The 15,303-nt window shown below is 51.4% G+C and overlaps 1 protein-coding gene and 1 long non-coding RNA gene across 5 annotated transcripts in view; one reads left to right on the forward strand and one right to left on the reverse strand.

Moving 5' to 3' along the window:
- The window catches only part of ITPK1 (inositol-tetrakisphosphate 1-kinase), a 179,012-nt gene that overhangs the window by 122,396 nt on the left and 41,313 nt on the right, over positions 1–15,303 (reverse strand). The gene's annotated exons all lie outside the window — the stretch shown is intronic.
- ITPK1-AS1 (ITPK1 antisense RNA 1) lies at positions 8,143–12,843 on the forward strand. The gene has a single exon (NR_002808.2). It is a non-coding gene; the product is annotated as an ITPK1 antisense RNA 1 (long non-coding RNA).

Genomic DNA, 15,303 nt, shown 5'->3' on the forward strand with positions numbered 1-15,303 from the left:
GAGGGGGTGCGGGTCCTAAGCAGGGGGGAGGGGGTGCGGGTCACAAGGCAGGGGTGGAGGGGGGTGTGGGTCACGAGACAGGGGTGGAGGTGGTATGGGTCTCGAGGCGGGGGCGGGTGCTGATCCCGAGGCAGGGACGGAGGGAGTGCAGGTCACGAGGCAGGGGTGGAGGGGGTGCGGGTCTCAAGGTGGGCGCAGGTGCTGGTCACAAGGCAGGGGTGGGGAGGGTGCTGGTCATGAGGCAGGGGTGGAGGGGGTGCAGGTCACAAGGCAGGGGTGGAGGGGGTGCGGGTCACGAGGCAGGGGTGGAGGGGGTGCGGGTCACGAGGCAGGGGTGGAGAGGGTGTGGGTCACGGTCACGAGGCAGGGGTGGAGGGGGTGCGGGTCACGAGGCAGGGGTGGAGGGGGTGCGGGTCACGAGGCAGGGGTGGAGGGGGTGCGGGTCACGAGGCAGGGGTGGAGGGGGTGCTGGTCACGAGGCAGGGGTGGAGGGGGTGGGGGTCCCGAGGCAGGGGTGGAGGGGGTGAGGGTCCCGAAGCAGGAGTGGAGGGGGTGCAAGTCACGAGGCAGGGGTGGAGGGGGTGCAGGTCATGAGGCAGGGGTGGGGGGTGCTGGTCACTCCCTGCTCACCCCCATCCACACTGCCTGGCTCTGAGCCTGGGAGGCTGACTGCCGTAGAACGCAGCATTCAAGATCCAGGGCTTCCAGTTGCACTTGGCCAAGAGGGGTCACTGGCAGGAGACCAGAGGGCAGGAGGAGGGGGGTGGGGTATTTAGTCCCCTCTCTCTCCCTGCTTCAGTGACATGCCTGGGCAGTGGCTGTGGCTTGCTATGACTACCATCACAGAGCTTCTGCGACACTTTCTTCACCTTACCTGCGGCCCAAGAAGCAGAACAGCTCCTCTCTGCTGCCAGGCTCTAGGTGCCTCACCAGCCCCCGCTGCTCCCTTAACCCTGCCCACAGCTCAACAAACAGCCCCTGCTTTCAAGGCTCTCTTTGAACCACTGAGGGTGAGCTCTGCTTCCTGCAAGCTCCCTGGCTAATATGAAGAGGAACACGTTCTGGGTCACCACACATACAGGGTCAGAAGACAGGGAGCAAATTTGAGCCACAGAGACGAGCACAGAACCACCAGGCTACGTGGGCCAGGCATGCACCCTGACCAGGAGAGAGGCCAGGCTGAGGGTACACAGTCTGGAACAGGCGAGTATCAGCATGGGGACAGTGAAACAAGCTCAGGAATGGAGGGGACCCTGCTCTGCTGCAAAAGGCCCATGCTTGCAAGGTATTAGGGGGCTGATTGTGTGGTAGCCTTGGAAAATTCAGGAAGGCCACGGGAGGTTTTTATGAGGAACCAGAGAGGTCTGGTTAGCACTGGGGAAGGGGCAGGGGATGGAAGAGTCAGAGTAGAAAGAGCCTAGGCCATAGGCAACAGCAGATCTGAGTTCAAAGACCCAGAGTGATTGGTGCTTGGAGCTCTGTGACTAGAAATATCACAGAAGCAGGTGACAGATCTGAGCCTCAGTTTCCTCATCTGCAAAATAGGGAGAATAATAAATAGATCCCATCTCACAGAGCTATTATGAGAACTAGGAAGATAAAAGTAAAAAAGTCCAAGGCAGAGGGGGACACAGGCTCCACAATGACAAGGATTTTGGTTCAAGGTCAGGTAGCTGGGGTTCCCTGGAACAGTGACCCACACCCACAACAAAAGTTCCACTCCAAATCTGGACTGGCTCCATACCACTAGGGAATCACTGGAGGGATCACTCCAAAAGACAACTTAACATGCAAGCTGGTGTTTGATACTCTTCAGAAATTAACTTTCCGGACTGCAATTCCCCAAATGACTCCTAACCCTCCACCACTAGCTGCAGATTCCTCAACACAGATCTGGGGCCAGGCTGTGTGATAAGTACTTTGACACTGTATCTCAATTACCCTTCTTAACCTTAGAGGTTGGTGTTACGACAACCCCTTTTTCCAGGCAAGGAGGCTGAAGCACCCTCGGTGCTGGGAAGAAGCAAGACCAGAGGCCACCCGGGGACCACCCACCTCCTCCAGAGCCCACCACTCCTTCCTCCTCTCCCTGGGGTGAGGAACAATTGCAAGGGGAGAAAAGTCCATGGGCACAGCTGCGGCTAGGCTACAGCCCCCAGCCTCATGGGCAGAGAGAGTGGGTCTGGGGCAGGAGTGAGAAAGGAGGGGAGGGAGGGCACATGAGAGAGAAATGAGTTGCTGTATGCGTGCCTGGTGCACAGGTGATAACACAGCATTCAAATCTAGAAGCACAAACTCCCACAAGACCTTCCCTTTCTGTAATTCCCCAAAATGCAGGGGTTTGTTTATTTCACCAAGAAGTACATATTCCTCCTACAGACTACAAAAACAATATATACAACTTACTTATGTAACCCAAAGAAATAATCATCACAGGCTTGCCCAAACAGTATCAAAAGTGGATGTTTATCACAATACTATTTATAAAGGTGACAGACCAGAACCATGGTCAGCATCAACCAAGGGAATCAAAGAACTTCAGTTACAATCAGATAATATTATGCAGTCATTTAAAAAGCAAGCCTAAGTAGACATTTAACAAAGGGGGAAGCTCTAAGAGAATGCTAAGTGTGTTTGTGGGAACAGATTACAACAGAACCACAACTTTGTTTACAACTATGTCAAGGCTGGTGGCTCGCGCCTGTAATCCCAACACTTTTAGAAGCCGAGGCGGGCAGATCACTTGAGGTCAGGAGTTCAAGACCACCCTGGCCAACACGGTGAAACCCCATCACTACTAAAAATACAAAAATTAGCCAGGCATGGTGGCGCGTGCCTGTAATCTCAGTTACTCTGGGGTCTGAGACAGGAAAATCGCTTGAACCTGGGAGGCGGAGGTTGCAGCGAGCCAAGATCGAGCCATTGCACTCCAGCCTGGGCGACAGAGCGAGATTCCATCTCAAAAAAAAAACTGCATCAAAGATGTTGGTGCACACCATGGTCCCAGCTACTAAGAAGGCTGAGGTGGGAGGATTGCTTGAGCCCAGGAGTTCAAAGCTGCAGCAAGCTATGATCGCACCACTACACTCCAGCCTGAGTGACAGAGCAAAACCCCATCTCTAAAAAAAGTTTAATTAAAAAAAAAAGTTTTTTTAATGCATCAGTGTGTGTGCCATTTTTATGCTCAAAGGACATGAATAAAGTCACACTTTATTCACATTTTAGTGTGCTGGTTATCCTTCGGCTAGGGAGTAACACATTTTGTTCCCACAAGCTACACAGGAGGCTCTCCAGACCTTCCTGAAAGGCACTTTCAAACCTGCTTCTGGAGGGTCAGAACATCATGCAGGACAGAGGTCAGGCACTAGCAGGAGGCCCTGGTCCCACGGCAGGTCTGTGCTATTTGAAGTCGTAAAGCAGGTCAATGGTGGCCCAGTGTGAGGGGCTGCAGGGGCTGCCAGGCTCACAGTCAAGGCCAGGGCCTGGCCTACCATACACCAAGGCGTTTCATCTTCTCCCCAAGAAGATATACTGGGTGGGCAGGGGTCCTTGTCCCTGATGGACAAAGGAAGGCACTGAGGGCTCAGACAGCAAAAATAACCGAGGGTCCTGAGCGATCCGGCGGAATATTTGGTCGACAGGAAAACTCATCAAGTCCTGCCCTCACCAGGCCCCAAAGCCCTGGCTTAAGGGAGGGCCAGGCCTGGCATTTGTCAAGATTTAACAAGTTCAGTAAATGTGCGCCCCCACCCCACCCCCATCTCCCATCTCTCTCCCACGCCAGACCCTTCTCCAAGCCCCACTCCTTGGCCATTAGCTCAGTCCCAAAGGCATCCTTGCCCATCCCGGCTGCCGATGATCCTGTCAAAACACTGTAAATAACTTATTTCTACTTGGCAGGGCCTGCGGCAAAAATACTGCCTGGGCAAGGAAGGGAGTGAGCCAAGGTCTGCCTCCAAGCCAGGACCCACACCCTCCTGCCCAGGGACCCCTGGTCCCCCACCCACCTGAGATGGCAGAGACCCACAGTGGAGGCCAAACTCCTGCCCAGTGAGACAGGGGTGTGAGCTTCACAAGACCCCTCGAGTCATCTCAGGAGCCAGAAAACCAGTGAGCTTCCCACTCCCCACAGCCCCACACAGCACACTAAGCCCTGTCCCTGACCTCAGGCTACCCACGCTTCTCCTACGAGGGCCTGAGTTTTAGAAGGCCTTCTCACTTGCCCTCCCCTCGTCTCAATCATCCATCTCATCACCATCTGGTAGATGGGCCTCAGAGAGGTTGTGCCACTACCCAGGACTGCACAGCCTTGGAGGGATGGAGCTGGAACTAGGGAGGAGTCACTGGACTCTCACCAGGCAGGCAGTCTTCGGAGCAGAAGAGGCACTGGCTATGCCATCACACCTCTAGAATCCAATCCCAGCTCCACAGCTCACATGCTAGGCTGTGACAAGCCCACCTGTGTGAGCCTCAGTCCTCTCACCTGGCAAGTGGGGCACTAACCCTGGCACTCAGTAGACGAGGCACACACAGGAGTTCTCACTGCTGCTGCCTGGGCTGCTCATAGAAGCCCAGCCCAGACGCCAAACGCACTTTGGAATTTTTACATGCGCATTCTAGAACTCTGAAGCAATCCTACTAGGTGCTTACTGCCCAGACAACAGGGCTGGTGACCTTTAAAAAAAAAAAATTGGCCGGGCATGGTGGCTCACACCTGTAATCCCAGCACTTTGGGAGGCCAAGGTGGGTGGATCACGAGGTCAGGAGATTGAGACCATCCTGGCTAACATGGTGAAACCCTGTCTCTACCAAAAATACAAAAAATTAGCCGGGCGTGGTGGCGGGCACCTGTAGTCCCAGCTACTTGGGAGGCTGAGGCAGAAGAATGGCGTGAACGTGGGAGGCAGAGCTTGCAGTGAGCCGAGGTCGCGCCACTGCACTCCAGCCTGGGCGACAGAGCGAGACTCCATCTCAAAAAATAAAAATTAAAATTTTCGTAGAGATGGGGTCTCACTATGTCGCCCAGGCTGGTCTTGAACTCCAGGCTTCAAGCAATTCTCCTGCCTTGGCCTCTCAAAGTGTTGGGATTACAGACACAGGCCATCATGCCTGGCTGCTGGTGGCCTTCCTGCAGAGAATCCAGGAGCTCTAAATGTTCCCCCAGGACACCTGATCAAAGCCCCCTCTCAGGCCTCTGTACCCCATTCCCACCGGAACCCTGGGAGCCACCCCAGGCGGCTTCTGTAGAAGTGCTGAGTGAGCCCCATGCACCACCGCCAAGTTTCTGGGACACAGCTGCAGGGCCGGGCACCAGCAAGCCGGGATCTCCTTATAGGGTATACTCTAAGGCCATTGCATAAAGCTCAAAAAGAGAAAGACTCAGATTGACAGTCGAGCTGGAAAACAGGCCTGTGAAAGGAGAACTAGACACCAGGGCAATCAGGTCCCTGAAAGGGCTGTCTCTGCCTACCATTTGTGCAGAACATCAGAGAACTTGAGGCAAAGACGGGAGCCACTGTGCTTCCCAGGGGAGTTCTTGAGCTGAGGGTGGATCAAGGGGAAGGAGAAAGACAGAGCCAAGTTACAACTCTGGATTTACACAGCTTTTGGAAAAGTCACGATGAGTGTGCGGGGAATCCCTGGGACCTCCCCTGCCCATAATGAACTAGCACGGGAGGGGGTCATGGGGCTAGGGTCAGGGGTCAGCACTCCCTGGGGGTGATGCCTTCACCCCATCATGGCTAGACCTGGGGAGATCCAGAAAGAAGGAAAACATAAATCAGCCCATGCCCCCAAATGCACCCCAGCCAGAGCAAAATCTGCTCTAACCCCAGAGGACAAGCTGGGACCTCACTCACTCACAGCAGGAGACTCATCCCTGGTCAGCCCTGCTTTAGCCAAACCAAACAGACATAACTTATGCTACAGACATTTCTGGCTTTTTTACTCATGAAAATAAATCAAACAGAAGAGATCCTTTCATTTTGGCTCATCTACCCATCGCATCATTTAACTACACAACACACCTCATTCAGACTCACGCTTCCCTGGGCCACTGAGGATGACAATGATGGTGGTGGAGGTGGCACCAGTAAATAATCACAAACAGCTCCTTCTGAGGACAAACTAGGTAAACAGGTTCTGTGCTGTTCCTTATCTGCATGACCTCACTCCTGGAACTCTATGAGACTGGGTCCATTATTATTTCCATTTTACAGAAGAATAAACTGAGGCTTAGAGGGGGCAAGTAACCTGTCCAGTTCTAAGTCCAGGGCCCAAGTGTGCTGGACACAGCTGACTAGCTGCAGCCCAACCTGTCCCCCATTCTCCCCTTCTTCTTTAGCAACAAAATCCTGAAGTCACTTCTAGACCATAACCCAATGAAACAGCCTGAGATGTGACTTAGGTCCCCAAAGATTTAGGTCCAGAGACACCCAGGGCAGGACTGTTAGTAACAGCAAACCAGAAATAACCTAGAACTTGAGACTCTGGAGCAGAGAAATGGTTCTAGATGCTGGGACATAGGGATGGTGGGAAGCTGGTGCAGCCACTCTAACAGCAATTTCCAAGGTGTTTAAATGGCACAGGCAAATGCTCAACTGTTCCCCCAAATGCAAGTGGCAAAACTAGGGACACAGAAAAGCCTAACCTGAATGCACATCATATAGAAAAAGGAGCATATTTTATGTAAAAATTGCTTCAATAATTATCTCTGGGTTTTCATTTGTGAGCCTATCTTGACTTCCCAAGATTTCCACAAGTACATATTACTTAATGAGCAAAAGAATAATCTAGAGTTATTTTTAGCAAGCACAGACCCTCGAGGCCTGGCCACATCCTGTGTAGCACAATACCTCAGTCCTTAATTCACTCACCCAGTAGACACAGCGCACATCAGGGCCAGACCACGTGCTCCTCAGAGACCAGCAAGTCCCAGCCTCAGGAGGACACACCAACAGGCAGCTCAGCTTGGTGTGCGTGCGTGTGTGCGCGTGCATGTGTGTGTGTGTATGTGTGTGTGTGTGTGTGTGTAGGGGGCAGAGGCGTCTGCTGGGAAAGCAGGGTAGGTGTCACTGCCAAGGTGACATTTAGCAATTCTTTTTTTTTTTTTTTTTGAGACGGAGTCTTGCTCTGTCACAGGCTAGAGTTCAGTGGCGCGATCTCGGCTCACTGCAAGCTCCGCCTCCCGCGTTCGCGCCATTCTCCTGCCTCAGCCTCCTGAGTAGCTGGGACTACAGGCACCTGCCACCACGCCCAGCTAATTTTTTGTATTTTTAGTAGAGACAGGGTTTCACCGTGTTAGCCAGGATGGTCTCGATCTCCTGACCTCATGATCCACCCGCCTCGGCCTCCCAAAGTGCTGGGATTACAGGTGTGAGCCACTGCACCCACCTGACATTTAGCAGTTCTAAAAGCATGAATAAAAATATGAGAGCAGGGAAGGGGCTGAAGAGGGAGATGCCAGGTCCTTACTCAACTGAAATACTCAGGGACGCTTCCTGGTCTTTGGAACTGACCTGAGGCAATGCATCTCCATTCCTGGCTTTGACTACGATGGTTCTGCGCCCAGCTGGACAAGGAGCACAGTCCAGGGCCCTCAGGTCAAGATGCCTCCTCCTCAGAGTCTCAGCCCTGCACCAGGCCAAACGGGAACCGACTGCTGAGGAATCCAGTGTTTGCATCCGAGTTTCTCCATCTGCACCCAGATTCCCTAGGATCACACTCTGAGTAGCAATGCTATGGATACCTTCACCCCAGAATGCCAGGACAGTCAGCTACTTTAAGAGCAGAATCTTGCTTCTGGCCCTTTCTAAAACCCCCGTTCCATCCCTTCCTATTTCCCCTGTGTACTTCATTCCATCTCTTTTCTTTGCTTTTACGTAAAATGCTTACCTGGCACGCTCCACTGAGGCCACGGAATTCTTGACATTTGACAGCCAAGCAAGGGTGGCAGGTACCAGGGAGATCCAGTCCCAACCCTGCGTGGTGTGGTGAGGAGGGCCTGGGGTTCTGGAAGCCTGCCTGCAAGAAGGCACCCAGGCACCCTGGAGCACAGGGAGCCCCACCTGCCCTGGCAGAGCTCTGTTGTCTTGACATGGGATGTGGGAACTTTTTTTTTTTTTTAAAGGATTTGCTCAAATTGACTCAGTGCATCAAAGGCTGGAGAAAGAATCACCCTAGAACTGAGTGCCACAGGCTTCGGAAGCTGCACAAGACTGCAACACGGTGACAGCTTCTATTTCTAACAGCAAACCTAAAAAGCTCAGGAACCAAAATAAAACGGATAGAAATGAAACCACTCAGAGTATGACGACAGTACTCAAAGCAACTCACGAGCATTTCCCCACGCTGTCTTCCAAAATGTGAAAAATGTGATTTTTTTTTAATGGCCACATTGGAGAACTGCTATGAGCAGACCTCATTTATATAACCCTTCCCAGCACCTCATGTATCATCATTATTAAAAAACACTATGGGGATCATGCTTTCACATAACTTTGTCTTATTTGTTATCTACATAGCCTAAGCAAATAGTAAATGATGGAGAATGAAAATAATTGTCAATGTTTAGGGGGAAAAAAATACCTGCATTTCAAATTTTTTAAAAAAACCATAAAATCTATCTTTTAAAAAAGGAAGGAGTAAGCTGGAATCCACAATTGTTAGAAACCCAAAAGTGATACAGAGGGGAGGCAAAAAAAAAAAAAAAATACTATATTCTCCACACTGAAACAATGTATCTTTCTCAACAGCCCAGTTTCATCTGTAGCTGTATTTTCCCCACTGAAATGCCACCATTAATCATAACAACAGATGAGTAAAAATCAATTAATATTCCTTCAGCATCTCTTAGGTGTCTTCAATCCTGTGCGCTGTCATCCCTTTAAAGAGGAAGGAAAAGATCCACAGCCAGGAAACAGACTCAGAAACTCAAACCCAGGTCTCTGGACCCCACAGGGAAGTGAGGCACAGCCAAGAGCAATCTGTGTCCATTACTGGCCTCAAATGACCACATGGAAACACTGTGTGCAGAGCCAGCCCCCCAAGCCCGTGGCGGTCCTCCTTGGAGATGATGGGGTCTGGGGAGAGGTCAGAGTCAGGCTCACGTGAACTTCAGAAAGCCACTGCCCAGGATATGGGTGGACCGCAAGTCTACCATGGGCTGTCCCAGCTCCAAAGACGTCAGAACCCCACAGCGATTGTTATTCCCAAAGCCCTTTACGCTTGGCTCCACAGCACACGGCAGAGAAAATCGACAGAAGGAAGGATGTTCACAGGTGTCCACCCCTACCTATGCCCCAGTGACCTGGAAATAAAATCCATCAAGAGCACCGGGGTCAGCCAGCTGGGGTACGCTGGAGAGTATGGGTGGCAGAGGGAACCCCGCTGTGGATTGATCATTTGACACTGTGTTCAGCATACCTTTTAAAAAAATGTTGGTACCATGTAAAAATATAACCTAAATAACAAGTACATTTTTAATGCTGAGATGGAGAATTTAGCACCTATAATCCTTCCAGAGATGCACACCACGCAACCACGTGAGTCCCCTCTGGCTCTGAATTCCGAGAGCAGCTACCAACACAGGCCTCCGCTGCCTGCACTCAGCACACCTATCGGAAAGCGCCAGTGCTGGCATGGGCTTTCCCTCCCTGGCGGCTGCTCCTCCTGCACCCCCATGCCCAGGCACTCCGGCCAGAAACAAGGGAGGAGTCTGGGGACTGATCCTCCCCCTCTCACCTCCCACATCTACCCAGGTACCACACCCTGCCATCTGTCTCCTGCTGCCCTCTGTCACTGCAGGAGCCCCTGGAGAGCACATCACCCCTCACTAGGCTGCAGCCACAGCCCCTCTCAGAAAACCCTGCTGTCTGCTTTCCAGTGCAGCCCTGTCTAATCACCCTCCATGTATCCTCCCCATGGCTCTTCCCCCATAGCCTCAGGTTGGAGCACCCAGCTTTCGCCTGCAGAAGCCCCTCCATGCCCCCGACACAGCACCCCATGAACAACTCACCTGGCACCGCTACTCTCTCCAGCCTGGTCTCTCACTAGCCCCCTCAAGCCTGGGGCTGTAGCCTTTCCAAGCCATTGGCAGCCAAAGGACCCCCTTCCCCAGCTGCTGTGTGTGGCCCTGGCCATGCTCCTTGTCTGTAAGGCCATTCTAACACCTCGCCTCCTGCCAGCCCCTACGCCCAGTTTATTCCATGTCAGGAGGTATGGCCTCCATCCCCTGATGGCCCACTCCTCCTTACATGCCCAGCCTTGCGTCCTCACCACTCCCCCACAGCTCAGACAGGCCTGCCCTGCCCCTGGGCTTGGGCATCCCCACGGTTTCCCTGCCAGTGGGCATCCCCACAGTTCCTTCGCCTCCAGAGGCCCAGCACCCAGTTCTGCCTCGGCCCCAGGCACATGGACCTTCCCTTGGGTCTTAGTGTCTCTTTCTCAGACTTGCCTTTTCTTGGTGGTTTGATGGTCACCCACCCAACCTCCTTCCCTGAAAGTCTGGTGCAGGAAGGGGTAAAAACACATATACAAAGGTCACCAGCAAGCCAGCCAGCACCAGCTCTGGAGAAAACACGGACAGAAAGACGTATGCCCACCATTCACTCATTCGCAAGCCGGGAGAACTTACTTACTTCCTTGCCTGCTTGAGAAACAGCCGCCGCACCAGAGACTGGGTTTCATAGTGTCTGAATTCTCAAGGAATGTGGATGGAGGACAGTGAATCTCTAACTGGCTGCTGCACTTCTCACACTTACAGCTTGCTCATTCGCACTTTAAAGTCAAACCTCGAGTCCCCTCATGCCAGCAGTCACCTTCTCCCCGATCTTTTACAGTAACTGGGGAAAGGCAGCCCAGAGAACAGGCCAGGGCAGAGGTCAGGCTGCAAAACATGCTTCCCTAAGGACGTCCAGGCTGGAGGGGGCCCGGCAGCAGGTGGGTCTTTCTTTCAGGGTCTTCCTCCACCAAATTCAGGACTATTCCAGAAAGAGGCAGTGAGTCCCTGGATGGGGAAACCGCTCCTCCTGAGCCTTCCCCACAGATTGGATCGGAGTGGAAGGTGCCCCCAGGTGACAGCACCTAGCAAGGCTGATGCAGGCCTTCTGCCTGGCCCACAGGAGAGCCCCAGCCCCACTCCCCAGATCACAGACGACCAAGGCTCCTGTGTACGGGGGAAGTAATCATAGTGCCGTGCTTGGCACTTGGTCATTTTAGCAACTAGGTGTTTTAGAAGGAAGCACAAGGACCTAGGAACTGGGTTGAGCTCTGTCAGGCCTTGCCTCTCAGTTAGGATCTGTTGGGTAGATGGGCTCATTGCCACTAACCAGACTCGTCTTCCAGGGAGCCTTCCTGATTTACCAGGCTGCGTGAGGGCCCTCCTCTGTGCCTGTCTGGTGTCCCTGCCTACCTTGGCCACTGTCTGCAGACATCACAGAGAGTTGAAGGGGCCTGGCTTGGGCCTGTGTGAGCCCCCAGCACCTGGGGCCTATCCATAGCAAGTGTCGGGGAAACTGCTGCATGTTACTGCGTCCCATCTGCACGGCCTGGCTATGAGGGGCCCTCAGCTCAGCACTCAGTGAGACCAACTCAACACTGAAATGGTGGAGTCAGGGTGGCCCGTGCGTCCAGCATTCCCATTACCATACTACAGAGCACGGGGCTGAGGAAACAGGCACTTGCCACCATCACCATCATGACAAGTAGCCTCTCAAGACAGGAGGTAGAGAGCATCTGGTCCCACGACCCTTACTACACTCTTCCCTTGTCCTGCAGCCCAACTCCCTGCTCTAAACACAAAGTAGGACATCCTCTTCTTCTGAGCTACCTGGGTCCTGGCTCCCCTGCAACTTCCTTTCCTGCCTGAGCAGCCCTGAGCAGACAGTGCTGTGTCTTTCATGATCATCATCACGTGGCCCAACAGACCAGGTCTGCAGACAAGTCCACTGCCAAGCAAGTCTCGGAGCACAGTTCTGGGCCCCAGAGTCAGCCCAGTCCAGCCCAGCCCCATCAGGGCCTCTGGACAGCCTGAGAGCAAGGCCTCGTGCTGTCCCTCTCCGAGGAAGGATTTGCCTCAGGCCTGGTTCTGAGAAGTAAACAGGGTAATGTTCTGAAGCAGTGGACTTCAAACCAAACCCCCACAAAATAAATGTTTAAAACTACATATCTATTTGCACATTTTTAAGTTGATATGAAAAATTTCTCATCATAAGTCTAAATACTTGTAGAGGATGTAATTTCCAACATACTGTAAATATTAACATTTAAAAATAAAACTGTTAATGTTTCTCTTTTAAATGGATCCAATGGTATCTAAATACCACGGCGATTAGAGATTCGCCATCATCCATTTTTAAATTACATAATCAAGCTCTTCTTTAACCATTGGAAATTTAACAGTGTTCCTTTTTTCCTCCACAAACTCTGATCTCCCTCAGAGATGTTTATACTATCACAGTGTATTTTATGCTTGAAAGCCTTATACTGATTATCCTATTATATACTATAGGGCCAAAAAATACAAAAATCAATGTTTTAATTTTTTTTAATTTCCTGTGATTTCCTGTGATCATAAAGCTCTGTCAGAAGTTTTCTCCTGGACTGAATTATTATAACAATTACTATAAGTATACAATTGATCAATAAGACAGAAATATATTGCAAAATTGTATAAGAAATAACCTTTAAAAATAAACTTAATTAGGCCAGGCGCAGTGGTTCACGCCTGTAATCCCAGCACTTTGGGAGGCCGAGGTGGGCAGATCACCTGAGGTCAGCAGTTCAAGACCAGCCTGGTCAACTGGTGAAACCCCATCTCTACTTAAAAAAAAAAAAAAAAAAAAATTAGCTGGGCATGGTGGCAGGCACCTGTAACCTCAGCTACTTGGGAGGCTGAGGCAGGAAAATCGCTTGAACCTGGGAGGCGGAGGTTGCAGTGGGCCAAGATCATGCCTCTGCACTCCAGCCTGGGCGACAAGAGCGAGACTCCATCTCAAAAAAAAAAAAAATTAAATAAGTAAAATTTAATAAATAAATCTTATTAAAAATACATCTATACAATGAATGGGAATTTTTTGAAAAATTATTTCATGAATTCTCAGATGAATATTGCCTGTTGCTAGAATAAGACAGGGTTTATCAATTTCATCTCCATTTTTTAATTTTTACAGATGTGAGAACAGAAACCACTTATTCAAATTTAAAAAATAGAATGGAAAGAGATTTACCACAGCAAATTCTTTGGATTCCTTTATAATTATTTGCCAAGAATTACAGTAATCTAGTCATCTCTTATCAAATATTATTCTTTTTTTTTTTTTTTTTGAGACAGTGTCTTACTTTGTCACCCAGGCTGAAGTGCAGTGGCACGATCTCAGTTCACTGCAGCCTCGACCTCCTGGGTTCAAGTGATCCTCCCACCTCAGCCCCAAGCGGTCATACACCACCACACCCAACTAATTTTTTGTATTTGTGGTTGGGGGGGAACCCTCAGACGAGGTTTTGCCATGTTGCCCAGGCAGATCTCAAACTCATGAGCTCAAGCAATCCACCCACCTCAGCCACCCAAAACAAAGGTCATTCTTAATGTGCTATCAGCTGACGACACCATCAGGTACTCTTTGAATTTTGCTGCAAGCAGGGAACTGGAAATACCTCCCTGGCCCCAGGATGACAATGACTGGCCACTGTACTTGACCACCAGGAGGGTTTTATGCCCTGAGGTCTCACACTCGGTCAGGTCTGCCTGTGGATAGTGTACAGTTCTCCTGCAGACAGCCAGCTTCCAGTGTGCCAGGCCCAGTGCCAATTACTTCACCCAAAGTAACTCAGTCCTCACAATGGTGCCAGGGGACCAGCACCATGATTATCCCCATTTTACAGATGAGCAGAAAGACACAGCGTCGTTAAGCAACTGGCCCAAGGTCACACAGACAGGAACCTGACCCCAGGCGGCCCTGCGCCTCACAGAGTGCACAATCCTCTGCAGAGGTGGGAGGAGGAACGAGGTGAAGAGGCACAGGGGTGGCAGGGAAGAAGGGCTCCCGAGCTCCTCAGCCTCCAGCACAGGCACCTGAGGACACTGAGATCTGCAAAATCCACTTTCTTAAATATGCTCCCACACCCACCTCGGGAAGGTTACACACAAATGCTTCCTTAAAGTAAACCCATGATGCCTGGTACACTGGAGTCCTCAATAAAAGGACTGTTACTGTTGCCATTAAATAACAGGAAGAGAAACAACTCCCATGACCAACCGACCTCCGGTCACCAGCGTTTTGCAGTCTTGAGTCCTGACCCTTGGCCCCAACATCCTTTTTTTTAGATAGCAGCCAAAGTCCAGGTAATAAGAGGAACAGAAGCATTTAGTAAATGGAGAACCTATGAACATGCAGAGGAGACCGTTCAGCAGAAAACCATGGGCCACAGGCTTTTGAGACAGACAGACCTGCACTCAAATCCCAACTCCACCACGGCCAGCTGAAATCCCCAAGAGAAAGCACAGCATTCTGAGCCTCAGTTTCCCCACCTCAAAAGGGTACTTAACACCACATCATCCCTGGGTGGCTGCACAGAACGGGAGACGCCCCTCAGGGACCAGACACAGGAAACACAGGAAGACGGCTGGCAGCAAGGGGACGTGTGTCCTCTTCAGTCACCAGCACCTGAACCCAGAGGACTGCAAACACCCCCAGCTCCCAGGGCCCAGCAGCCTGGAGATCCTGCGCACAGAAGCCCAGCTGATTTTGAAAAGCCAGCCAAGTGGCTTGGCTTCCTGTTTTTGCAGAGTCTTTCTCAATGTCTTAAAATCTAAAAGTTCTCCAAATGCAGGGATGCCAGGAGGAGGTGAACAGAGAGGTATCGTGGTAGGTTTTATTTTTAGATGCTGAAGTGTAAAGTGTCCAGTTTGGCTTCGTTCTGGTCCCCAGCCACCACTTCCTCCCCCAAGCCACCACCTAAATGAACAGCATACATGTCTAGAAAGATTTCGCAATGCTTCTTCTGCCCCGGACATTCTGACACAATGGCTCCAGTCTCCTGTTCCTCCCACAGACCGAGCGGATTAAAGATTTTAGTCTAAATCTTCCCAGAATGCCACATAAATGAAACCCGCCGACCCCTGTCCATCTCTCATCCTCTCCTCGAGCGGTGGGGGTGACACCCACTGTGTGACAGTTTGAGGTCGCGTATGGACAGGATCAGGCATGGGGGAAGGCTGTCTTGCCCTCTCAGGCAGTGTGTTTGCTGGGGAGCGCCTGAACTCACTTCCTCTGAAAATGGCTCCCACAGCAGTTCCCCCATGGA

This window comes from Homo sapiens, chromosome 14, assembly GCF_000001405.40.
Source record: "Homo sapiens chromosome 14, GRCh38.p14 Primary Assembly".
Lineage (NCBI taxonomy): Eukaryota > Metazoa > Chordata > Mammalia > Primates > Hominidae > Homo > Homo sapiens.